The sequence below is a fragment of the Homo sapiens genome, chromosome 5 (assembly GCF_000001405.40).
Source record: "Homo sapiens chromosome 5, GRCh38.p14 Primary Assembly".
Classification (NCBI taxonomy): domain Eukaryota; kingdom Metazoa; phylum Chordata; class Mammalia; order Primates; family Hominidae; genus Homo; species Homo sapiens.
In genome coordinates, this window is record NC_000005.10 from 112,206,812 (window position 1) to 112,232,468 (window position 25,657).

General features: G+C 40.2%; 1 protein-coding gene and 1 long non-coding RNA gene across 16 annotated transcripts in view, besides 1 other annotated feature; one reads left to right on the forward strand and one right to left on the reverse strand.

The window, feature by feature from the left end:
• Positions 1–25,657, reverse strand: part of EPB41L4A (erythrocyte membrane protein band 4.1 like 4A) — a 278,107-nt gene that overhangs the window by 64,983 nt on the left and 187,467 nt on the right. For 14 of the 15 annotated variants that reach the window (XR_001742173.3, NR_144931.2, XM_011543531.4 and 11 more), the window contains one exon: positions 3,081–3,171. Coding sequence is in view for 13 of the 15 variants with exons in the window: in XM_011543531.4 (XP_011541833.1) it covers positions 3,081–3,171 (91 nt within the window). In the remaining 2 variants the exon portion in view is untranslated. Of the gene's footprint in view, positions 1–3,080; positions 3,172–21,861; positions 24,105–25,657 lie in introns of those variants that run through there. The other variant, XM_047417479.1, reaches the window with a different exon arrangement.
• Positions 10,785–11,286: an enhancer, noted in NCBI's record as "H3K4me1 hESC enhancer chr5:111553293-111553794 (GRCh37/hg19 assembly coordinates)". NCBI's record gives its function as "activates a minimal SCP1, AML or CMV promoter by ChIP-STARR-seq in naive H9 embryonic stem cells {active_cell/tissue: H9 hESC(naive)}" and the evidence as "EXISTENCE:reporter gene assay evidence [ECO:0000049][PMID:30033119]".
• LOC101927023 (uncharacterized) overlaps positions 21,472–25,657 on the forward strand; it is a 29,027-nt gene continuing 24,841 nt past the window's right edge. The window contains exon 1 of the long non-coding RNA NR_110559.1: positions 21,472–21,541. This is a non-coding gene — a long non-coding RNA (uncharacterized LOC101927023). The remainder of the gene's footprint in view (positions 21,542–25,657) is intronic.

Genomic DNA, 25,657 nt, shown 5'->3' on the forward strand with positions numbered 1-25,657 from the left:
CACAGGAATGTGGTTGCAAAGGGGATTGAAAAATATTGTTAAAATGGCCATACAGCCCAAAGCAATATACAGATGCAATGCTATTCCTATCAAACTACCAACATCATTTTTTCACAGGAAAGAACTATTCTAAAATGGACCCTCCCTCCAAAAAAGCCCAAACAGCCAAAGCAATTCTAAGCAGAAAGAACAAAGCTGGAGGCATCACACTACCTGACTTCAAACTGTACTACAAGGCTACAGTAACAAAAACAGCATGGTATGGTACAAAAACTGACAAAAAGACCAATGCAATAGGATAGAGAACCCAGAAACAAAGTCATACACCTACAACCATCTGATCTTCAACAAAAGCAACTAGAACAAGCAATGGGGAAAGGACTCCCTAAATGGTGCTGGGATGGCCAGTCATATGCAGAAGAGTGAAACTGGACCTCTTCCTTTTACTATATTCAAAAATCCACTCAAGATAGATTAAGAACTTAAATGTAAGACCTCAAACTATGAAAATACATCTTAGAAGAAAACCTAGGAAATATCATTCTGGACATCAGCCTTGGTGAAGAATTTATAACTAAGTCCCCAAAAGCAATTGCAACAAAACCAAAAATTGACAAGTGAGACTTTAAAGAGCTTCTGCACAACAAAAGAAACTATCAACAGAGTAAACAGACAATCTACAGAAAAGGAGAAAATATTCACAAACTATGTATCTGACAAAGGTCTAATATCCAGAATCTATAAGGAACTTCAACAATTCAACAAGATGAAACAAACAATGCCATTAAAAAATGGGCAAAGGACATCAACAGGCACTTTTCCAAAGAAGACATACATGCAACCAACAAATACATGAAAAAATGCTCAACATCATTAATCATTCGAAAAAAGCAAATTAAAATCACAATAAGACACCATCTCCCCAGTCAGAATACCTATTATTAAAAAGACAAAAAATAAAGATGTTGGCAAGATTGTGGAAAAAAGGGAACACTTTTACACTGTTGGGGGAAATATAAATTAGCTCAGCCATTGTGGAAAGCAGTTTGGAGATTTCTCAAAGAACTTAAAACAGAACCACCATTTGATCCAACAATTCCACTACTGGATATATACTCAAAGGGAAACAAATCATTCTACAAAAAAAGACATATGGCTGGGCGCAATGGCTCACACCTGTAATCCCAGCACTTTGGGATGCCAAGGCAGGCGGATCCCGAGGTCAAGAGATGCAGACCATCCTGGCCAACCTGGTAAAACCCCATCTCTACCAAACCTACAAAAATTAGCTGGGAGTGGTGGCACACGCCTGTAGTCCCAGCTACTTGGGAGGCTGAGGCAGGAGAATCGCTTGAACCCAGGATGCGGAGGTTGCAGTGAGTCAAGATGGTGCCACTCCACTCCATCCTGGCAACAGAGGGAGACTCCATCTCAAAAAAAAAAAAAAAAAAAGACACATACACTTACATGCTCATTGCAGCACTATTCACAATAGCAAGGACATAGAATCAGCCTAGATGACCATGAACAGTGGACTGGATAAAGCAAATATGGAACATATACACCATGGAATACTACACAGCCATAAAAAAGAATGAAACCATGTCCTTTGCGGCAACACGGACGCAACTGGAGGCTATTATCCTAAGTTAATTAACACAGAAACAGAAAACTAGATACTGCATGTTCTCACTTATAAGTGGGAACTAAACATTGAGTACACATGGACATAAAGATGGGAACAATAGACACTGGGGACCACTAGAGGAGGAGAGGGGGCAAGGGTTGAAAACTACCTATCACGTACTGTGCTCACTACCTGAGTGATGGGATCATGCATACACCAAACCTCAGTGATAAACAATTTACCCATGTGACAAACCTACTGGCACACGTACCCCTGGACCTAAAATAAAAGTTGAAAAAATAAATTTTTAAAAGGAGGATTGTACTCCTTCTGCACATTCTAAAAAAGCGTGGGATCTGAATCTCATGGAAGATTCCTGTTCTTATGCTGAACATACCACAAGCATACCCTGTACATACAGATGAAGCTGAATCTCTATCCACAGCTTGAGGGTGACTAAGGGAAATACAGTAAACTAAAGTTATGCAATGATAAAGAACTTGTCATCCTAAAAGGAGAACCAGTAAATGTCTTAGAACCAAACAAAACATAGGCAAATCCCTGCGTAAAATATTAAAACTCTGAGAATCTTCAGATCTTAAAGTTATCTTGCTGAGAAATTATGAACTATACTCCTCAAAGTAGCCACAATACAGCTGAATGAAGCCACTATTATTTACCAAAAAAATATCAAGTAGATGATCTAAGAAGTCTTTGCAGGTCACATATCTCTGATTGCTGGGATTTCCCCATGATGTATGGGGGGCAACCCCTATAGAGAAAGTGAGCTCATGAAAGCTGCTCATTGTTGTTTATAATGCTGTTCCGTGAACATAATTGGAGAGAAGAAAAAATGACTCTGCAACAGTGTCTTAACAGAAAACAAGGCTTAGCTCTCAGGGAAACAATCCATGTAATATATTAAGAGAAGGCTTTTCCACTGGGGAATGCCCCCTGGGAAAGCAGATGCAGAGGACCATGACAAGTCTTCATACATATGCAATCACTGACTTCTGAGGATCTGATGCCTCTAAATGCCATAAACCCTCTTTCCAGGGCTACAGTTCAGTGCACCACTATAATGAACACAGTACATTAAACATGAATATCATCTACTTTATTTTACAAGTCCCTCTGAGTTAGTCCATTATATCATGCCATTTTCAAAATCACAAGAAATTTTTAATTTTCTGCGGAGAATGCAGACCACAGACAATCTGTGAGTTCACCTTGTGACAAAAAGAGCACTTTCTTCAAATAAGAGAGTCAGGTCCTGATGTTTTATATTTCATTGGTGTTTTAATGTATTATTTGGCCCAGAGATTTATTGGATCCCATGGATCAAAAGTATTCATTAATCATCAAAGTTAAAAGATTTTTAACCTTGTCTACAGAAAAAAAGCATTTTTACAACAGCATATAATTGTACGTTTCTTCAGTTAACTTCACTGACCTTTTTACTGGTGAAGGTGCAATAATTTTAATTGTTCCTTCATTTTCTCCATTTTCCATGTTTGCAGTTATCCTACTGATGCTGTTTGATTCTAGCAGAGGAGGAGAAGGAAAGATGGAAGAGAGAGGAAACAGTGATAAGGAAATGAAAGAAACAGAAGACTTATTTTAAAATGCAATTTTAGGGACACTGTGGCACATTTTATTGATAAATTATAACCCCAAATAAATAATGAATCACCCAATAAATTGGAGGTACTATTTTCTAACGTGTACTAAACCCTCAACATAACAATGTCCTGGGAGTCTAGGCTATTTTTTTCAGACTTTAAAACTAAGTCTCCACATCTTTAGATGTTAAAATAACATTCACTTTAGACTATTAAAATGATATTCTGAGATATTTAGTACCATATATTAGAATATAAAACATAATGATCAGGTTTTGATGACTACTTGTGAAGAAGTTTCTCAGCATATCATGACAGTCCCCATTTGAAATCAAACCAAACAAAAAACTTCAAACCTGAAAATATCCCAACTCATAATGCAGCTGTCAAAAAAAGAGTAATATACATGTGATCTGTATCACTCACATATAAAAAAAAGACATTTTCAAATGTGTTCTTCATGCAAACATTCCTAAAAATCTGAAACTGAATTTTTAAAAGTTGTTATTCCATAGATTTGCATACACGCTAGAGGAACCAGCAGAGGGAGCCCATGGCAGACACAATGTTGGAAGTCATGATCGAAATAAAGATAACTGAAGGGTCTGGGCCCATGTAGGAGGTCAGGCTTCCACTCTCAGGGCAGAGGTAGATAAGCCTGCAGAAGTGAGGTGTGTGGGCTCTGGGAACAACTCTTCTCCAGTGTGCATGTACCTCACTCAAGGAGGAGGCAGTTTAGATGATCAGGGGAAATCAGCATGCACAGATGCCCACAGGCCCTGTTCAATTAGGTCTATGTGCCATACAGGTGTGTCTTCCTCGGAGCTACTCCTGCAGGGGTAATAGTTACGGTCCTTCAATCCAATGCATAACGGTCACTAACCACCGAGAATGTCATGAAGATGAGTTTGTAACATTAATAAGCACTAATATTTATTGAGTACTTACTATGTGTCAGGTACTATTACAAGCGCTTCACATCTATTTACTCATGTATCCTCAAAATAATCCTATGAAGTAGATATCAATGTTATCTCATTTTAAAAGATTTAAAAAAAATGGGCCTTTCTCAAGGTCCCACAGCTCCTGAGTGGTGGGGCAAGCTTTGAAGATGGGCAGTCTGGCTCCACAGACTTAGCTCTGAACCACACACTACTTCCACCTGTGGCCCCACAAGCAGCTCAAGAGTCAGTCTAGATTAGGAGTCAACTGGGAGAGACAGACTCTTAAAAGGGCAAGTGGGCCAGGCGCAGTGGCTCACGCCTGTCATCCCAGCACTTTGGGAAGCCGAGGCGGGCGGATCACGAGGTCAGGAGTTCAAGACCACTCTGGCCAACAAGGCAAAACCCCATCTCTACTAAAAATATAAAAATTAGCTGGGCATGGTGGCGCATGCCTGTAATCCCAGATACTCAGGAGGCTGAGGCAGGAGAATTGCTTGAACTGGGACCCGGGAGGTGGAGGTTGTAGTGAGCTGAGATTGCGCCACTACACTCCAGCCCTGGCTACAGAGCGAGACTCCGTCTCAAAAAAAAAAAAAAAACCCACACAGCAAGTGAAAGTGATGTTCAATGAGAAGAACACTTCAGAGCAAGGCAAGAGGACAAGACAAGAGAAACACCTGAGCACCCTCAAAGTTGGCAAGTTTCCTCCAGAGCAGTTGGGAAGTATGTCTGGCTTACCCATCAGGAAAGATAAACATTAATAAATACACTTTAGACAGAGAAAACAAAGGGTGGTTTCAGATAAGAGTTCCAAAAACTGTTACTCTAAGGCATTTGACATGGGATTCCATATCTGAATTGTGTTCCTATTTTGGAATCTTGAAATGAAAAGGTGAGCCTGAAGACACCTGTGGCACAAAAGGTAAGCTCATGCTGGAGCCACTACCAATAACTGAGCAACATCCAGAAGCCAGGAATAAGAAAAGACTAATGTTAGGGTAAATTCTGCCTGGTGTGATAAATGGAACACAACCAATTAATTCCCTGGAACTACTCCACGTGCCATCAAACGTCAGCAGTGGCCAGTCACCATCTTAGTCAATTTTGCCATAACCATGTGACCATTAACAAAATCACAAGGGCAGATTCTCAAAATTGCAGGCAAAGATTTGGGATGAAGCTGCTTCTCACAGGTAGAACTCCATGTGGTACACGTCTGGGGCAGTGGCAGAAGGGACTAATTCATTTAGGTCCTAGACAGTAGGTGTGCCCTACCATTAGTTGTTTTTGTTTTTTTTTTTCTCCTGAGACAGAGTCTTGCTTTGTCGCCCATGCTGGAGTGCAGTGACATGATCTCAGCTCACTGCAACCTCTGCCTCCTCGGTTCAAGCAATTCTCCTGCCTCAGACTCCCAAGTAGCTGGGATTACAGGCGCATGACACTGAGTCCAGCTAATTTTTTTATAATTTTAGTAGAGACAGGGTTTCACCATCTTGGCCAGGCTGGTCTGGAACTCCTGACCTCAAGTGATCCACCCACCTTGGCCTCCCAAAGTGCTGGGATTACAGGTGTGAGCCACTGTGCCCAGCCCCCTAACATTAGTATTTTTAATTGTTCTTAATAACCTTTATTTAAATGTGGTGGTATTCTTAGCAGATATTACTAATATTTAATATAAATGAAAAGGAGCTTCATGTCCTAGGGCTGTTTTCCTAGGCTGGGAGAGGGGGCCACAGCAGAGAGACCAATACCCAGTGTCAATAACACCAACTGAAAAAAGCTGAGTAAAGGTGAACATCCTGTTAACCAAGGCCCTGAGTAACTAGCTTAAGAAAAGACCTAGGTTTGCTCCCACCCTCATTCTCTTTAGACTGACTACTTTTTTCTTAGTCTAACAATCAATTACTTTAGGAAAAGTGCCTAATCACCTTCACCTGTTTCCCTTCCATCCAAAAATTAACAGAGAAAAACAGAATATTTTTAAAAAGAAAAATTGCAAACTATGTTTATATATTTGCTTAAAGAAAGCAATATTTGGTTTTTCACAATGTCTGAATCATAATTTTTAAGATGAAGCATTATTTGGATGGTTTTCCAAAAGAATTTCAGGAAAAAAAAATCATGTGAGTGCTCTTTGTCACAAACACTCACAACCAGCATAGCCAAACTTTTTCAAAATAAATTGTTCTACTGTCAGGACTAATTTACTAATGTGACAGTGCTATAACTCTCATATACCCACTGTAGACGAGATAAGGTATAATCAGTAATATGACTTAATTCATGGTTCCTTTATATTCAAAATGGTAATCTACTGTTCACTGTTAACATGTACAGTTTTTTTTTTTGTTTTTTTTTTTTTAAGATAGACTCTTGCTCTGTCACCCAGGCTGGAGTGCAGTGGCACGATCTCAGCTCACTGCAACCTCTGCCTCCTGGGTTCAAGTGATTCCCTTACCTCAGCCTCATGAGTAGCTGGGATTACAGGCATGCACCACCACGCCCGGCTAATTTTTGTATTTTTAGTAGAGATGGGGTTTCACCATGTTGGACAGGCTGGTCTCAAACTCCTGGCCTCAGGTTATCTGCCCGCATCACCTCAGCCTCCCAAGGTGCTGGGATAACAGGCATGAGCCACCAAACCCAGCCAACATGTACAGTCTTTTTATATGAACTAAATATCTCTTCATCTGTACTCCCCTACTCTATAACAAATGTGAACTAGACAAGCCTGGGTTTTAAAAGCCTTATTAGGAAGACTACATGGGGAAAAACCACTTAGAAGCATTAACTTACTGGGAGCACTTCTGAAGTATCCATTCATATAATAGTCACATGCCTTCATTAGGCAATATGTTTTAGTTTTATGTCACTAAATATGTAATCTAAAAGCAGTAAATATACTTTCAGAATAATATATTTTAACCACTGTCCAAATTAGTAAGATTTTACCATACCACCATTTGAGATAGCTAATCAATTCAGTAAAGCTAGGTTATATGTTGGTGATTGAAATCTGCAGAGGTGAGAAATTTAGGTTATGCATTATTTAGGTTTACTGACTTTCCATTTTGTTAACATGGACCACTAAATTTTCCTTTTCCTCCCCTCATCATACCACCTTCCAGAATCCCTCCTACATCAGCTCAGACTCGGGCTACAGAGAAAAGTGACCTGACAAATCCATCCCACTAATGGGCTTATGTCTTCATGTATTATGTACCACAGAACAGTTCCATTTTGAAGATGAGTAAAAGGAAAGACCAAATATTAACTAAAATAATTAACCAATAACAAGGGAATTTCAGGCACTGTTCCAGAAAATATTTGGAGGTTAGATAAATCTTTCCCCACCACCACTGCTTTTTCATTTAAATATCAGACATAAGAAAAGGGTATAACATACATATATAAACAGCTTAACAAATAATCATACAGTAAACCACCACCCACTTCAAGAATTAAAACACAGAGGGCAGCCGGGCGCGGCGGCTCACGCCTGTAATCCCAGCACTTTGGGAGGCCGAGGCGGGCGGATCATGAGGTCAGGAGATCGAGACCATCCTGGCTAAAGCAGTGAAACCCCATCTCTACTAAAAATACAAAAAAAATTTAGCCAGGTGTGGTGGTGGGCACCTGTAGTCCCAGCTACTCGGGAGGCTGAGGCAGAAGAATGACGTGAACTCAGGAGGCGGAGCTTGCAGTGAGTGGAGATCGCGCCACTGCACTCCAGCCCAGGCGACAGAGCAAGACTCCATCTCAAAAGGCAAAAACAAAAGAAAAAAAACACAGAGGGCAATTTTCCTGCACTTCACAATCATCTCATTTGGGGCAATTCTTTACTTTCTAGATAAAGTTAAACAGTTGCTTTCTGCCTAAAATATCTGGAAACACAGATTATTCTGTGTTTCATTTCATAAAATATTTGACATATAAAACAAAATTATTTTTAAATTAAAAACTTCATAAGGCCTCAAAATCTTAATAAAATGAAGGACACATCATTGTGCACCCACATGGCTGCCAGAACAGTGCACCACCCATGGTAGGTACTCAATGAATGTCTATTATTAGAAAGGATGTATTTCTGTTTCTACCATTTTTGCCACTAGAGAGGAAAATTCAGGATAATGATCTTTATTTAATAAGTGTCAAAAGTAAAACAAAAACTATTAATAGATGTGGTGGTACCTGAGACGCATGTCAAAAGGACATGCGGCAATATACCTTGCAGGACTGGGCTGCTTCTTAGAATTTTAAAAGGCAGTCTTCTGCAGTAGCACACTGCTGTTTCAATTCACAGCCACAGGTGATCTGCAATCAAGATCAGTTATTGACATATGGCTATTAAGGCTTTGAAGTAAATCTGTATTTTACTTCAAGTAAAAATAATAATAACTCTAGTGAGGCCACTTAGAATTAATCAAGAGTGTCCAATTCATTTTACATATTGTTCACATTAAAAAGACAAAGCTTGCTCGGGCGCGGTGGCTCACGCCTGTAATCCCAGCACTTTGGGAGGCCAAGGCGGGCGGATCATGAGGTCAGGAGATCGAGACCATTCTGGTTAACAATGGTGAAACCCCGTCTCTACTAAAAATACAAAAAATTAGCCAGGCGTGCTGGCAGGTGCCTGTGGTCCCAGCTACTCGGGAGGGTGAGGCAGGAGAATGGCGTGATCCCGGAAGGTGGAGCTTGCAGTGAGCAGAGATCGCGCCACTGCATTCCAGCCTGGGCGACAGAGTGAGACTCCATCTCAAAAAAAAAAAAAAACAAAAAAAACAAAAAAAAAACAGACAAAGCTTAATTCCAAAAGGCTGCTCGTATTTTGAAGAGTATGTCAGTCGGGGAGTGCTATCATTTATTAATGAGCCAAATCTAGCTCATGGCCTGTGATATTTGTTTCTGGGCTGTTAGACACCACAGCTTAATATGTGCACACACAATTCCCTGTGGTTTATACAGTACTGAAATGCCAGTGTGCAAAGCTCCAGGGTTTCATTTGTTCGTTTTTAATACACTATATCCAAATACTTCCATCCTGGTGCATCAGACCACTACCAGTCCTTTGAGTGGTTAGATTCTGTTCACATTTGAGTACCTCCATCTTAAGTGATCCTTGCCTTCAGTTCAGGAAGTGTGACTGTCAGAAACAGAATGAACTTTCCCAGGATCTATTTAGCTACTTTATCTGGGGGCAATTCTTAAAAGTCATCCCTGTGATGTCAAGATTTGGTGATGAATATACACGTATTTTCAATTACAAAAATACTTTGCAATTAAATAGGATTACGAGTCTCACAAAATTCATAAGTCAATTTGACACCTGTCAACATAAATCAAATCTTTGATGTTACTTAAATGTTGCCATTCCTTTTAATTTTTAGAGTGAGGGTGAAGGCTGAATGTGTGAAATTAAAATGAAAAAAATGTATTTGGAAAGCGAGAATACCTTATTCTGATATGTGGGGAAAATAACATACAGCTAAACAAGTAAAACAAGGTTGTGACATACACTTTCTTTTAAAAATTCTCAAATATAAATTTATAAACCTTCAGGTTAAATCTTGTCCTACTTAACAATCACATTTTCTTCCCTTAACATAAAAAAAAACTGTATAAAATGCTTAAGACAAATAATAAGATTATAGCTATTCTCAACACAGTAAGTTATTAGGTTTCAGTTAACACAATCTGATTTGCATGACCTAACCCAGTTCAACTTATCAAAAGACATGATATTTGTGAATTAAGAACTGACCAATAATTGAAAATATATTTTAGCTCTATTTCTCACATTGACAGCTCAAAGTGACTTTGCCTTAATTTCACCAACTTTAGACTAGGTACTATGGAAAAAATGGCAGTATAGCAAATTAGCAAAATAAAACATTCTTTTTCTATACCACAAATTACGGCCAAATAGCTAAATATTCAAGAAAACCTTATATAATTTTCCTATCATCATGGAATTTTTTTTTTTTTGAGACAGAGTCTCGCTCAGCCACCCACTCACTGCAACCACAGTCTCCCAGGTTCAAGCGATTCTACCATCTCAGCCTCCCGAGTAGCTGGGATTACAGGCACCCACCATCATGCCCAGCTAATTTTTGTATTTTAGTAGAGATGGGGTTTCACCATGTTGCCCAGGCTGGTCTTGAACTCCTGACCTCAGGTGATCCACCTGCCTCAGCCTCCCAAAATGCTAGAATTACAGGCGTGAGCCACCGCATCCAGCTGGAAAATTTTATATTTGGCAAAACAGATGCTCATTAAATTCTATAAAGCAAAAATAAATATTAAAACATAATTTGGAAAATAAAGATGTTTCTGCATCCAATGGCTAATTGTTTAAGTTCAAACACCTGGCTCATCCCCAAAAGGCAGCCAGATTCCTGCTTAAGAATTCCTGGGCTGAATACAGTAGCTCACTCCTGTAATCCCAGCACTTTGGGAAGACAATGCAGGAGGGTCGCTTGAGGCTAGGAGTTTGAGATCAGCCTGGGCAACATAGTGAGACCTATCTCTACAAAAAAAGTTTTTTTAATTAGCCAGGCATGGTGGCCCATGCTTGTCATCCCAGTTATTGAGACTGAGGCAGGAGGATTGTTTGAACTTGAGAGTTTGAGGTTACAATAAGCCATGATCACACCACTGCACTCCAGCCTGGTGACAGAGTGAGACTCCATTTCTTAAAACACAAAAAATGTTTCTGCCTTCTAAAGTTCCAAGAGTGATATTTAAGCAGTTGCCTTTTTACTAGATATACATAGACTTTTTAGACACCAATTTTGCTACTGCAAGATCAAAGAAGGCATTCTACTGAAAAGCTGGAGGGTAGATTATAAGGAATGGGTGTGGAGGAGAAAGATGCTAGGAAAACATGTCTATGCATGAAAGGCCCCCTCCTGAGTTGTTCTGCTTCCAATTTCCTCTTCCCAGACCCAGTACTCTCCTGGATCCCTCTGCTTTCGTCATTACCAAAATGATAATTTGGGACTGTGAGTGCACATAAAGGCACTTCCTCCTCTGCCCTTCCCCCAGTGCTACAGAGTGTGTGGAGGAGCTACAGGGTGTGGAGGTACTCACAGACAGTCCTCCTTGTGGGTCAGAATGCCAGGTTCAAAAACAAGAAAGGGATTTGTGAGGCTAGGAAGGCATCTGCTCATTCCCTTAGAACTTCAAAGGAGTAGGATGAGAGACTTCTATCTGAAGATTTGTAATCTACACCAGCGTGGAAAGACTGCCAGATGTGGTAACAGGAGAGGGTGCACATTGTTCCTTCAAGCCCTCTTGGACCCAAAGATAACACCTATCTATGAATGGTCAGCTGGAATCAAGAGGTGTCACGAGTCACTTGGATATCAAGTTTTTCTTCCTGTGATACGAGTTTGAGGGAAGAGAGTTGAGTGATCACTCACATCCTTCCCAGTGGTACTCCTGGTGCCCTCTCCTCCAATCCTCTATCAGGGCTACACAGCCGACTGACACACACCAAACATTCTCCAGCCATCTCTCAAGCCCCACAATTTATGCTTGCTTGGTCTAGGGCAGGTGGATAGTTCCATACCTAACCTAAAGCTGGTTCTGTCTCAGAGGAGAGTGCTAGAACACTACTTTTGAGGTTTTTATTTGATGCAATTTTAATAGTAAATAAAGTAAATGCAAATATAAACTAAGCATACCTGTATATCAAGATTGTTTTTAAAATGCTTATTTAGCTAAGGCAAAATTGGGAAGTTTTTTGTCTGCTTCCACGTTTGAGCTCATCTCAAGGACTCTGTAGTGTTTTATTTTACGCAAGCACTCACTAAAAGAATTTTGAAAAACAATGTACCTTGTGCTTGTTTCAAAATGATACCTAAAATTTTTCATGAAAAGTTTAAATAGTACCAAAGGATATAATTTGAAGTATAAATATGACATTAAAAACTAGAACTGTTTCATGACTCCCTTAAACATATCCAATGTAATAAAATACCATACCGATTCGTTGTGTCATCCATTTTAAAAACATATGAAATGAGTTGTTTAGCAGTTAATAAATTTCATCACATTCTTTTTTCTCTTTGTGTTTGCATTTCAATTCTACTTCACCTACAAAATTTATCCCTAATATGTTTTGAATTTGAAAGTTGATATGGTTTGGCTGTGTCCCCAACTCAAATCTCATCTTGAATTGTAATCCCCATAATCCCCACGTCGTCGTGGGAGGGAGCCAGTGGGAGGTAACTTAATCATGGGGGTGGTTCCCCCATGCTATTCTCGTGATAGTGAGTGAACTCTCACAAGAGCTGATGGTTTTATAAGCGTCTGGCATTTCCCCTGCTGGCACTCATTCTCTCTCCTGCCGCCCTGTGAAGACATGCCTTCTGCCATGATTCCAAGTTTCCTGAGGCCTCCCCAGCCAAGTGGAACTGTGAGTCTTTTAAACCTCTTTTCTTTATAAATTTCCCAGTCTCAGGTATTTCTTCATAGCAATGTGAGAACAAACTAATAAAAAAGTTTTTATTATCACCTTATCATACTTCTCTATGACAAAATATAAAAATAAAGTGTTTACTTCCCATGACCATAAAGCTCTAAATGTAAAAAATTTCTTCTGAACTAAGTTATTATAATTAGTAGCAGTATATTAGTACACCATACTAATGCTGATAAATTATTAAATATAAAAAGTAAATTTTTTATTGGAAAGCAATTTTTTTTGAGACAGAGTCTCATTCTGTTGCCTACGCTGGAGTGCAATAGAGCAATCTTGGCTCACTGCAACTTCCATCTTCTGAGTTCAAGTGATTCTCCCATCTCAGCCTCCCAAGAAGCTGGGACTACAGATGCCCACCACCACACCCAGCTAATTTTTGTATTTTTAGTAGAGATAGGGTTTCACCATGTTGGCCAGGCTGGTCTTGAACTCCTGACCTCAAGTGATCCACCCACCTTGGCCTCCCAAAGTGCTGGGATTACAGGCATCAGCCACTGTGCCCTGCCAGAAAGCAATTTTTAATGAGGTAAACAGAGGTGGTTTTATTTCCCTAATGATTACATGTATCAAATCTATTTACAAATGTTATTTTTTGCTAGAATGAAACAGTTTAGCAACAAGTCTATTCCTACTTTTATTTTGATTTTCGATGCTGTGAACCCATGTTCAAAATAAGTAGAGGTATATGTAATGTATTCTGTTATAAAGACATCACCACTGAGTCAAAGAACTTCTAAGGAGTTAGATATCTAACAGTGATATATTATCCAAAATTATTCTGAATGTTCTATCAAGTGACAAATCCGCTGGGTCCTCCTTCAATTTTGTTGCAAGTAAAAATGAGAAAATGACTTAGAAAAGGATATGTCACTTGATAATTAGAGTCATTTACCTTCCCAATACCAACCCCAAGAGGTTCAAAGCTTATGGACAAAGCAGTCTAACAGATTCCAGATGTAGGAAAGGGCTCTTTTCTTTTGCAAAATGGAAGAAGGTCCATTGCAAAAGGGCAGGCTGGACAGAAGAACCAGTATGTATACTACCACAGGAATATGCCTTTTAGAAAAGAGAATCTAGAAATTGATTCAATGAAAACTACCTGTGCCCAAGTACATCTTAGAAAGCCTCTGTGTGTTGCCCTCCCCACCTGACTCAGATCAGGACACGCTACCCCAAACTATAACACCTTGGCATTTGAGAAAACAGCAGAAGCAAGAAAGCCCCTCTCATCTCCCAACCCTCTGTCATTTTCTCCTGAAACAGGTCTAAAACCTAGAAGGTAACTCTCTGACCTTCTTCCTCCTTTTTCCCCTGGAATCCCTCATGTGATAGATATCCTGCTTTACCCAGAGGGAGGGGATATCATACAGGGAAACCAAGAAGAATCCAAACAACCAACCTTTGCTAAGCCCCCCTCCAGGTTATTACCATTAGAATATACCCTTTTGTCCTCTAGTCATACTTCTGCATGACTGTCCATGAATATACACATATCTCATTTCTTTGGGTCTTCATTTCTAAAGGCTCTCATGTATATAAAACTTATATTAAACAAAGTTGTACACTTTTCTCTTGTTAATCTTTTGTTATGGGGACCTCAGCCATGAACCTAGTGATAAGTGAGGAAGCTACTACTTTTTCTCCCCTATACAATCCACCCTAGCAGTTGCATACACGAGCCTGAAATCTACTGCCTTAATTCACCTGTCCATTAAAACCCCCTTCTTTTGCAATAGCATCATGGACTGCCTCTAGCCATAAGCAAATTATCCTTCCGGACACTTAGAACTCTGTCAGTGCTCCACTCTATGCCACTTGATATGTCCTGCCTGCATTCCAGCATTGCTTCTCTAGTCTTGCAAAGCAGCTGGTTAAGTGTACAAGGTTGAAAGTCCAACAAACTTAGATTTATTTCTCAGCTCTGCCAGTTTACCCATTGTAAATTGATCCTGTGATCTTGGACAAGTTATTAAACTACTTTGGGCCACAGTTTTCTCCTGTGTAAAATGGGAACACCACTAACTACTTATATAGTGCACAGCTGGATTAAATTAGACAATTTATATAAAGCCTTTAGCACTGTGTTTGGAATTTAGTAAGTGCTAAATAACTGACGGCTGTGTTATTTGTATATGACTTAGTTCCTACAGATTAGGGGCCAAGCTTTATTCCATTTTCTGTGCTCTATAAAATAGGGTCTTATGCCAAAGAGGTGCCCAATAAATTCTTGTTGAATAAGAAGAAAAAGAAAAAAGGTGTCATTTATGGTAACTCACTAAAGCTGTGATTTTAACTTGAATATATAATAGCCCTTTCATTTTGCTTGCTTTTCTAATTTTCGTAGCTATGTTTGGAATGCTAAACACTCCCAAGAAGACTGAAAACATTAACTTTTTAGAGAAAATCTAACCAGACTCGCCATACATTAATAAATCTTTTACAGATGGAAAATAAGCCTAAGTTTCAAGGCAGAATAGAAAAGGATGCCAACAAAGGCTAACAGCCTGCAACAAACATACACCTGACTATATGGTCTACCTAATGCTCCTTGCAATTAACAGTTACTGCCTTTCCCCCTCTCTCTTGGCTAGGTAAGATGCCCCAAAGAACTTACACATTTTCTTCTAAAAATGGCTTAAAGTAAAAGTAGGCTGACTCTGACTATAAATGAGCAGAATGTATGGTCTTCTCAAGAGTATTTGTTGAAAACAAGTTAGAGCTACTGAAGAAATCACACATGGGGAAAAAACAGAAGTTGTATATTTTCAAATCATTCTAGACCTTTCACCTTTCTTAACTTCCATTTACTTTCCAAGCATGTACCATAGTATCCCAAAGACCTGGGTTAGGATCCTGGCTTTGCGCTTACTGCCTGTGTAATCTCAAACAAGTACTTAATGTTTCCATGCCTCAGTTTCCTCATCAGTAAGATGAGACTACCACCCATCTTTCTCATGGGGATACTGAAAGGGTTATACCCAGTAATGTTATCCACTGTTTTCATGCAAGGAAATCAGCTCAAATTAGAAAGGAATTCATGGTGAATGCACAACAGGATCTCACAGACTTCAGTTCATAGCTACTAAGCCTCCCTTCCCCTCTCTTCTCAAAGCTGTGTGATTCTCACAGTGAGCCAACTCCATTCTTCTTTCTCTGCAAACCAGCTTCTCTGTTCAAAGCTGTACCTGGTACCTGGACCGTAAAGCAGCCCCAAAAGGCTTGGTTGTCCCCAGATAACTGACTCATCTGCTGGACTGCACATCATCTTTTCTGGAGAAGGAATCTGGGCGGTTTCCTCAGAGGCCCCATTCTTACCCCAGGAGAGAAGAGAGGAGCAAGTCCACTGTTACAGAGGGCTCTTCCTCCACCCCTTCTGGACTCCTGCTCCAAAGACCAGCACAGTGCCAGTGACCCAAGGGCCAAGCAGGGCACCTGCTCCACAAGTGAAACTAGTTTTTTTTTTTTTTTTTAAGATGGAGTCTGGCTCTGTCGCCCAGGCTGGAGTGCAGTGGCACAATCCCTGCTTGCAACCTCTGCCTCCCGGGTTCAAGCGATTCTTGTGCCTCAGCCTTCCAAGTAGCTAGGACTACAGGTACACACCAACCATGTCCAGCTAGCTTTTGTATTTTTAGTAGAGACAGGGTTTCGTCATGTTGGCCAGGCTGGTCTTGAACTCCTGACCTCTGGTGATCTGCCCGCCTTGGCCTCCCAAAGTGCTGGAATTACAGGATTGAGCCACCGTGCCCGACCGAAAGTAGTTTCTTTCTTCTTTACCTCACCTATCTCTCCCTATAACCTACCAAAATAACCCTGAACTCTGAGAACCCCCAAAATCTTTAACATTGATATTAATAAGTAATGAGTAACTTATGGCCAAACAGAGCCAATAAAAAAATCAATCCCAGAGTTTTCAAAGTCTGAAGAAAATACTGGCATAGAAACCATCACCTCAGAACAATGAATTCTGATAGTAAAGCAAAGGTGTGGAATCCTCAGATGCCATCTACTCAGGAATATCTATCCCCAAAACAGAATCCCAAACCGCTGACAGACACACCCTCCAGCCCCCACCTGTCAAGAACAGGAGGGGTAAAAAAACAGGTAAATTTGCCCAATGCATTAGTAAAATCAAGAATTGCAACAACAAACAACTGCCGAGGTAGAGCCAATTCCCACTGCTGACTTCCAAAAGAAGGAGCAGGTTCAAGAAACGACTAGTCTAAGGTTGTGTTCACACACAACTCAAAGGCAGAGACAAAGCTATGCAAAAACTTTCTAAGAAGGAATGTCTTCTTTTTATTTTTACCCAGAAAGACAGCACTTTTTAACTATGAGTTAACCAAACAGGCAAAATCTCATATTCATCTCGTCAGTTTGGACTAAAAGAATAATTTTTAAACTGTAATAGAGCCATGGTTAAAGTTAACTTTATTCAATTTGTCAATAAGAGTTTCATTTGAACTTTAGGCTTTTTTCTTTTGAGACGGAGTCTTACTCTGTCACCCATACTGGAGTGCAGTGGCGCGATCTCGGCTCATTGCAGCCTCCGCCCCGCAGGTTCAAGCGATTCTTCTGCCTCAGCCTCCTGAGTAGCTGGGATTACAGGCGCCTGCCACTGCGTCCGGCTAATTTTTGTATTTTTAGTAGAGACAGGGTTTCACCACGTTGGCCAGGCTGGTCTTACACTCCTGACCTTGTGATCCACCCACCTCAGCCTCCCAAAGTGCTGGGATTACAGGTGTAAGCCACCGCATCCAGCCTGAGATGTTTTAAAGAATTGGCTAGAAGGTTTTTCCAAACACAAAAAGTACTGTGTATTTCCAATGGCAAAACTACATTTTATAATCTGGGAAGATCTTTTTCACAACTTTGCAAGACTTTTGAAATGGTAAAAACCCATATACTTAAAAAAAAAACTTTCTAAAATTCCACTGTATCTATTTTTCATATTTGGTCCTTCCAACTCTGTGGGCAGGTAAGTCAGACAGAATAAAGGAATTTTAGAAAGAAGAGGAATCTTTAAAGCTTACATACCCAATTATTGTATTTTATGGATAAAGGGATGAAAGCTGAGAATGCTGAATGACAAGTTACAGGTCACAACCAAGGCAGACCAGGAATTCAGGGCTACTCAAATCAGGTACAACTTTCACACTCTTTTTTTTAAGCTCCCCTACCACCCCACTAAGTCGCTTCTCAATTAAATGGCTTAAATAATCAGTCAAGAGGTAATTTAAACATCCCTCAGAGCAGAGGTTCTTACAAAGGAGAGAGGGAGGGACCACAGACTTGGACCATAACTCAGTCAATGGTCTAATTCTGATCTGTGCACTTGGAAAAGAAGAGCCACAATCACACTTTTGCCAAAACAAAGCTCCTCCACCATATTTTCAGAAATCATCTCCATAGCCACCCATATAACAATTCTAGGTCAGAATGTCTTGTTCTAACCCTTTTGTATGAAAATTTATACTAACTTCTTCCTTTTTCTGACCCAGAAGAAATAAACAAAAACTTCACAATACCCGTCAAAGGCCGGATAGATGTGAGAGCTATTATTATGTTACTGTCTTTTCCCAGTTTCTTTACCCTCTCTTTTCCCAAACATTCCTCCTTGCTAAGTGATTCTCATCCAGACATCCTCCACATTCTAGAACTTGCTACACCTGCAAATCATCACTTCTTTGGGTGAAAAACACAAAGCGTCCTCTACTTCATTTAATCCAAAGACTCTATACCATGAGTCTTCCTCATGAAATGGAGCACCCTCTGGCTTGAGGACTTATATGCCATCTTATGTACTTTAATCCTGGACTTATGCCCCTCTCCTTGAAGACTCTGGTTGTGTCTGCTATAACACAGGAGAAATTCCTAACATTTGAGTTTTGTACAATTGATCTTATATTGCTCTTTCTCTGTAAATCACAATGATCTAGGGTAAGAACAATGTCTCAGCTCTGAGCTTATTGAGAATGTCTCTATTGGAAATGTGGATGAGCATTTGTGAACTTCATGCATTCATGACAGTAATCTGTAGGGCTTTTGAAAAGTGCTTGGTAAAAATTCAAATGAAAATAAATCTCTCTCCCACTGCCAATCCCCATTCTCTCAGAAACGCTTCCCAAAGGCCACTACTGTTACTAGTTTCTAATGTATCCTGCCTGCAAGTATTATCTGCATGCATACTTTCCCACCCAATTTGTCTTTGTATATAATGGTAACACATTAAATACTACCGGGCCCCTCTGCTTCTCTGCCCCCACCATTTATATACCATATCCTGGAGATCATTTCGTATCTGTACATACAAATGTAACACATTCTTTCTTAGTCTTTCGTCTCTATATTGTAGACTGTAACTGACCTGTGTTCATATCTCAGCTTTGTGACTCTGTACAAGTCTCAGCCTCTGCTTTCTCACCTAAACATTGAGAATTACAGCATCTTCTAAAAGAGTAAGCTACTATCTGCAGAGTGTCTAGCACAGTGCCAAGCACATGGTAATGCTCAGCGATCATTAGTCCTGACATTCCTCTCCTTTGGTGGGCTCCTCATGGGGCCTGGCCTTTCATAGCAGATACTGTGGGACTATGGAATCAGATTGACACAAGCTCCAATCCTGCTCTCAGATTTCTTGTAACAGAGACATGGTATTTCATGTGGGGCAGAGGCTGGGGAACATATATTACTTTATTAGGCCAGTTTCTTTCTAATGGATATTTAGGTAGTTTCCAGTCTCTGTGATGACAAACAACACAGGAGTAGTTCCGCTGATATTATAGAAGTGACGTATTTGATCTAATATCTTCCTGGACAAACTCAGAGATTGGGGACTTGCTTTTGAATTCCCTGATCCAGAGCCACAGCTTCTGTGCGCTCCTCATTCAACAATTTTGCTTCCCCTCTGGGAGCCCTTTCAGCTTTGCCTTTTCTTTGTCTTCTCTGTTCCTATTGTCTGCTTAACATGAAAAATGCACTCAGGTAGGCCTGGCAGCTAATTACTTCAAATAGGGGAAACCACCTTACATAGAAGATGGAATGATTAACTGTGTGAACTTTAAAATTATCACACAATGTCATCACTGTTAATGAACACACTGTAAGAAGTTTGTTCTTTCCAATTCATAGTCATAGAAAATCCCAAGAGGGCTGGAGAGCAGTGAAGATCTGAGGTGGGGAGGAGAGGAGGGTAGAGATGTTGGTGTAAAAAAAAAAATCAGAGAAGAAAAATGGCTTGAACAAATACTAGATGATTCCATTTATATGAAGTACTAAAGTAGTCAAAATCATAGAAACAAAGTAGAAAGACGATCACCAAGAGCTGGGGAGAGCAGGAAGGGGTAATTGGTGTTTACGGGGTATAGTTTCAGAGTCATAAGATGAAAACACTCTAGAGATTGGTTGTACAACAATGTGAATATATTTAATACTATTGAACTTACTCTTAAAATGCTTAAGATGGTAAATTTAATGTTATGGTTTTACCACAATGAAAAAAAAAAAAAAGGCTTGGACTAAATGCTACTCTGAAGAGTAGAAACATAGTAAGAAAGACACTTCCTAACTCTGTGATCCTGATACTGCTCCCAACAGCTGCCCTGGGGTGCTAAAATCTGTAGGCAGGCAGGACAGAAGAAACCTTCACATAGTATGCTCTGACTGGCCCAGTTCTTCACACTCGATTTATACTGAATGTTCTAGATTTAAGTGAGAGTGTCCAATTTCCTTTCCAAGCCCCTCTCACTGTACTTGAATGGCCTCTCCTTACCCCTCACTCTCAAAAGCCCACAGCACCTCAACATAATAACATCATCCTTTGTATATGAAGTTCATGCCATTACAGCGAATATACCTCAGACATTGACAGATGGATTCACAGTGGTCCACACTGTGAATAGAAAGACATCCTTTTGGTTTAGGAGAAGGAAACTAAAGTGTACCAAGCCTCTACAAGTTCTGACAAGATACTCAGCCCATTTCAGACACATCCCCATGACAGCAACTCATCTGACAGATGAAGAAATCAAGGCTCAAGCTGGCTAAGTGACTTTATAATATTACATGTCTAGTACATGGATTACTGAAGCTGAACCAGCAAAGTACCAGGATCCAGCTTACTGGATCGCACTGATACATCCGTCTCTATTCAGATAACTCACCTTTCCTCTGCCTTCAAAACACAGATTTGACTGCCACAAGCCACACTGAGGTTCTGCTGACTTGCATCTGACACAATGTGCCAATCAGAGGAAGTGTTCAATAAATAACTATTGTTTTGACATTGCTATTTCTTAGCAGCCCAGAGCTATACTTCATCAAATGAAACTGTACTTCATTATATCGAATAATTTCTCTGTCTTCCCTGCTTTGACTGCACCTACCTTGGGTCAACAATAGATGCTGGTTAGCTACCCTCAGGGGAATCATTCACTATGGGGGGTCCAGAGCTGTGTGGCACCATCATCCCCTGGAGTTGGCCCACTGACCTACTAACTACAAAGTGCTCACGTCTGGAGTAATGGAGTGTTTGAATCAAACATAGTCGTGATTGCTGAGGATGCTGCAGAAACATAGTGTGAGCCCCAGGGCAGATGGAGTCACCTGTCACATGGTAGATCAACCACTCACACCAGCTCTGTCAAGGGACAGAGTTTCCAGGGAAGCAGCCCTCAAGCCAAATCTGTTGATCAGAAATGTTTAACTTAGCACACAAAGTCTTCTTATAATAAAATTAATTGCTAGTATTTCAAATTCTAGGAAGTTCACATGAACATCCAGATTTTGTACTTCTCTTGAAACACTGGAAGATACATCAACACTAGGTCCACTCCGCTGCACAGAAACAACTGGCTTGGTCCAAGCGGTAAGTAGCTGTCCTCTTGCACACTGTGCACAAACCATCCTCTCAGAAATCATTTTCACAACCCCTTATGCACTCTGTTTGCAGCCCCTTCCACAGAGGCAGAATGGGAATGCCAAAAATGTCATCTTATCTTGCTTTGCAATAGTTCAAAGATTATGCTGCAAGTATTTGTGTGTTCAGTGAGATATTTTTAAGAACTTAAAATGCTGCATCAGATAATCAAAGCCTTGTGTATCCATCCCAAATGGCTTCACCCATTACTTTTCTTATAGCTAATTATGAATTATATCCAAATATTCTGTCTTCATTGCCTACTTACAGCAGAGACGATCTCCTTTGACAGGAATCCAACTGTGTGAGTTGCCAAGAACTTGTCAGAGAGAGGGTTGTAACAGGAGGGCACTTTTTCCTCCTGCCGTCCCTTTTCTGGCTTTACCCAAGCTCCTCTGAGGCAGTTTAGACTTGCAGGAATGCTCTGGCTGCCTGCCCTGATGCTGACCTCCTCTGGGTGGGGAAGCAGGCAGCTGGGTGCAGGGCACTTGATTCTGGAATGTACTTCCTCATAAAGGTGCCAGGGCCTGCACTTGGCAAATTCTAAACACAATGGCTTTTTAGCTGCCAGGGCATTTATTACTCCTGATTGAGAGGTGAATAAACATGCTTTTTAAACTTACAGACAACTGGGATGCAAGTTAAGGGGACTAGTCATCTAGTTTGATTGAATTACTTTAACTTCGGAATTAAAAAGAAAGGTCTTCTAAAGTAAAAACTCATTTAGTATAAATTAATGATACAAACTAACAAAAAGTAATAACCCCCATCACGACTTTTTAAAAAATTATATACAAATGTTTTGTGTTTTTTTTGAAACACATCACATTTATTCATTTGCATATTTTCAGTGACACTATTGTGCTACAAATGGCAGAGGTGAATAGTTACATCAGAAACCACATGGCCTGCAAAGTCTAAAATATTCATTATCTGGCCCTTCGTGAAAAACGTTTGCCTATTCCTACTCCACTAAATAACTCTTGTGGGGTATTTTTATTTATTTATTTATTATTTTTATTTCAATAGTTTTAGGGGAACAGGTGGTTCTTGGTTACATGAGTAAGTTCTTTAGTGGTGACTTCTGAGATTTTGGTGCCCTCATCACCCAAGCAGTGTACACTGTACCCAATGTGTAGTCTTTTATCCCTCACCCCCTCCTACCCTTCCCCCAAATCCCCAAAGTCCATTATATCATTCTTATGCCTTTGTGTCCTCATAGCTTAGCTCCCACTTAAAAATGAGATCATATAATATTTGGTTTTCCATTCCTGAGTTACTTCACTTAGAGTAACGGTCTCCAGGCCAGGCACGGTGGCTCACACCTGTAATCCCAGCACTTTCGGAGGCCAAGGCAGATGGATCACGAGGCCAGGAGATCAAGACCATCCTGGCTAACATGGTGAAACGCTGTCTCTACTGAAAATACAAAAAGTTAGCCAGGCATGGTGGTGGTCGCCTGTAGTCCCAGCTACTTGGGAGGCTGAGGCAGGAGAATGGTGTGAACCCAGGAGGCAGAGTTTGCAGTGAGCCGAGATCACGCCAGTGCACTCCAGCCTGGGAGGCAGAGCTAGACTCTGTCTCAAAAAAAAAAAAAAAAAGAATAATGGTCTCCAACCTGATCCAGGTTGCCACGAATGCCATTATTTTGTTCCTTTTTATGGCTGAGTAGTATTCTATAGTGTACATAGTAATATAAACACCACTTTTCTTTATCCACTTGTTGGCTGATGGGCATTTAGGCTGGTTCCATAGTTTTGCAAATACAAATTGTGCTGTTATAAATATCGTGTGCAAGTGTCTTTCTTATATAATGACTTCTTTTCCTCTGGGCAGATACCCAATAATGGGATTGCTGGATCAAATGGTAGCTCTACTTTTAGTTCTTTAAGGAATCTCCATACTATTTTCCACAGTGGTTATTCTAGTTTACATTCCAACCAGCAGTGTAAAAGTGTTACTTTTCACCATATCCACACCAACATCTATTATTTTTTTTATTTTTTAATTATGGTCATTCTTGCAGGAGTAAAGCGGTATCTCATTGTGGTTTTGATTTGCAATTCCCTGATCATTAGTGATGTTGAGCATGTTTTCACATGTTTGTTGGCCATTTGTACATCTCCTTTTGAGAACTGTCTATTCGTGTCCTTTGCCCACTTTTTGATGGGTTATTCATTTTTTTTCCTGCTGATTTCAGTTCCTCGTAGATTCTGGATATTAGTCCTTTGCTGGATGCATAGTTTGCGAATATTTTCTCCCAGTCTGTGGGTTGACTGTTTACTCTGATCATTTCCTTTGCTGTGCAGAAGCTTTTCAGTTTAATTAGGTCTTATCTATTTATTTTTGTTTTTGTTGCATTTGTTTTTGGGTTCTTGGCTATGAACAGCTTTGCCTAAGCCAATGTCTAGAAGAGTTTTACCGATGTTATCTTCTAGAGTTTTTATGGTTTCAGGTTGCAGTGAACCAAGATTGGACCACTGCACTCCGGCCTGGGTGGCACAGTGAGACTCTGTCTCAAGAAAAAAAGTCAGGATAAAAGCAATTCAAAAATCAGACTGAAAGGTGGTCTCAGCAAAGTCTTAAATTTTAACACAGCACTATTTAATCCTCTTTTTAGAATAAAAATGATGAATACACACCACTGTTTAAAATATATAAATAGTCATGAATGCTTAAAGATATCACTACAAGAATATTCACTTTAGAGCTATTTATGGTTTTCAAATTTTGAAACAGCTTAAATATCCAAGAATTAAAGATTGGTTGAATTGTCACATCTCTATATCTATACAGCAGAAAATCATACAGATATTAAAATGGCATTGTTTAGGAACATTTAAACATATCCATGAGGTATTATTAAGTAAGAAAAGCAAGTTGAAAACCCATGATTGTACCACTTGTGTGAAAAAGATATACAATTGACCAAAAGGCTGTATAATACAGTGCTACTACAAGTAGAATGGAGTTGAATATAAAAGTTTTTTTCTTTCTTTTTGGGAGAGAAGATTCTAAGTTTTCTAAATTTTATAAAATAAGCATGTGTTTTTGTAATAATAAAAGCATAATACATTCCACATTTTAAAAAGATCCACCTGGCCGGGCGCGGTGGCTCACGCCTGTAATCCCAGCACTTTGGGAGGCCGAGGCGGGTGGATCATGAGGTCAGGAGATCGAGACCATCCTGGCTAACAAGGTGAAACCCCGTCTCTACTAAAAATACAAAAAAGTAGCCGGGCGCGGTGGCGGGCGCCTGTAGTCCCAGCTACTCGGGAGGCTGAGGCAGGAGAATGGCGTGAACCCGGGAGGCGGAGCTTGCAGTGAGCCGAGATTGCGCCACTGCAGTCCGCAGTCCGGCCTGGGCGACAGAGCTAGACTCCGTCTCAAAAAAAAAAAAAAAAAAAAAAAAAGGATCCACCTGCCAGGCACAGTGGCTCACACCTGTAATCCTAACACTTCTGGAGGTCAAGATGTAAGGATTGCTTGAGGCTGGGAGTCTGAGACCAGCCTAAACACAGCAAGACCCCATCTCTACAAAAAATAAAAGATTAAAAAAACATTAGCCGGGCGTGGTGGCGTATGCCTGTAATCCCAGCTACACAGAAGGCTGAGGTGGGAGGATTGCTTGAGCCATAAGTTCAAAGCTACTGTGAGCTATGGCCACAACACTGCATTCCAGACTGGGTGACAAGGTGAAACCTTGTCTCAAAAAAAAAAAAAAAAGAGAGAGAGAGAGAGAGAGAGATCCACCTGATGCTGGGAGGCTGTCCTCCAAAAAGGCTGGGCTGTGCATTAGGGGGACCAGCTTACAACAAATCCTAGACATCCTTTGTCCTCTGATGCCCATGTGTAAGTAATACATAAGCTTCATGTAACTTGTTGCATATGAGCGTGTTCTCTCTCAATGGACTCAAACAAGTCAGTAACCAATGCCCAGTAAACCTACTCCACAGTAGTTTTAGCCAAACTGCCTTTCACGTCTTAGTTTCCTCATTACCTGAAGGGAGGCAAAATAATAGTGATGTGGCAAGGTAATCTATTGCAAATTTAGTCATGTTTTAT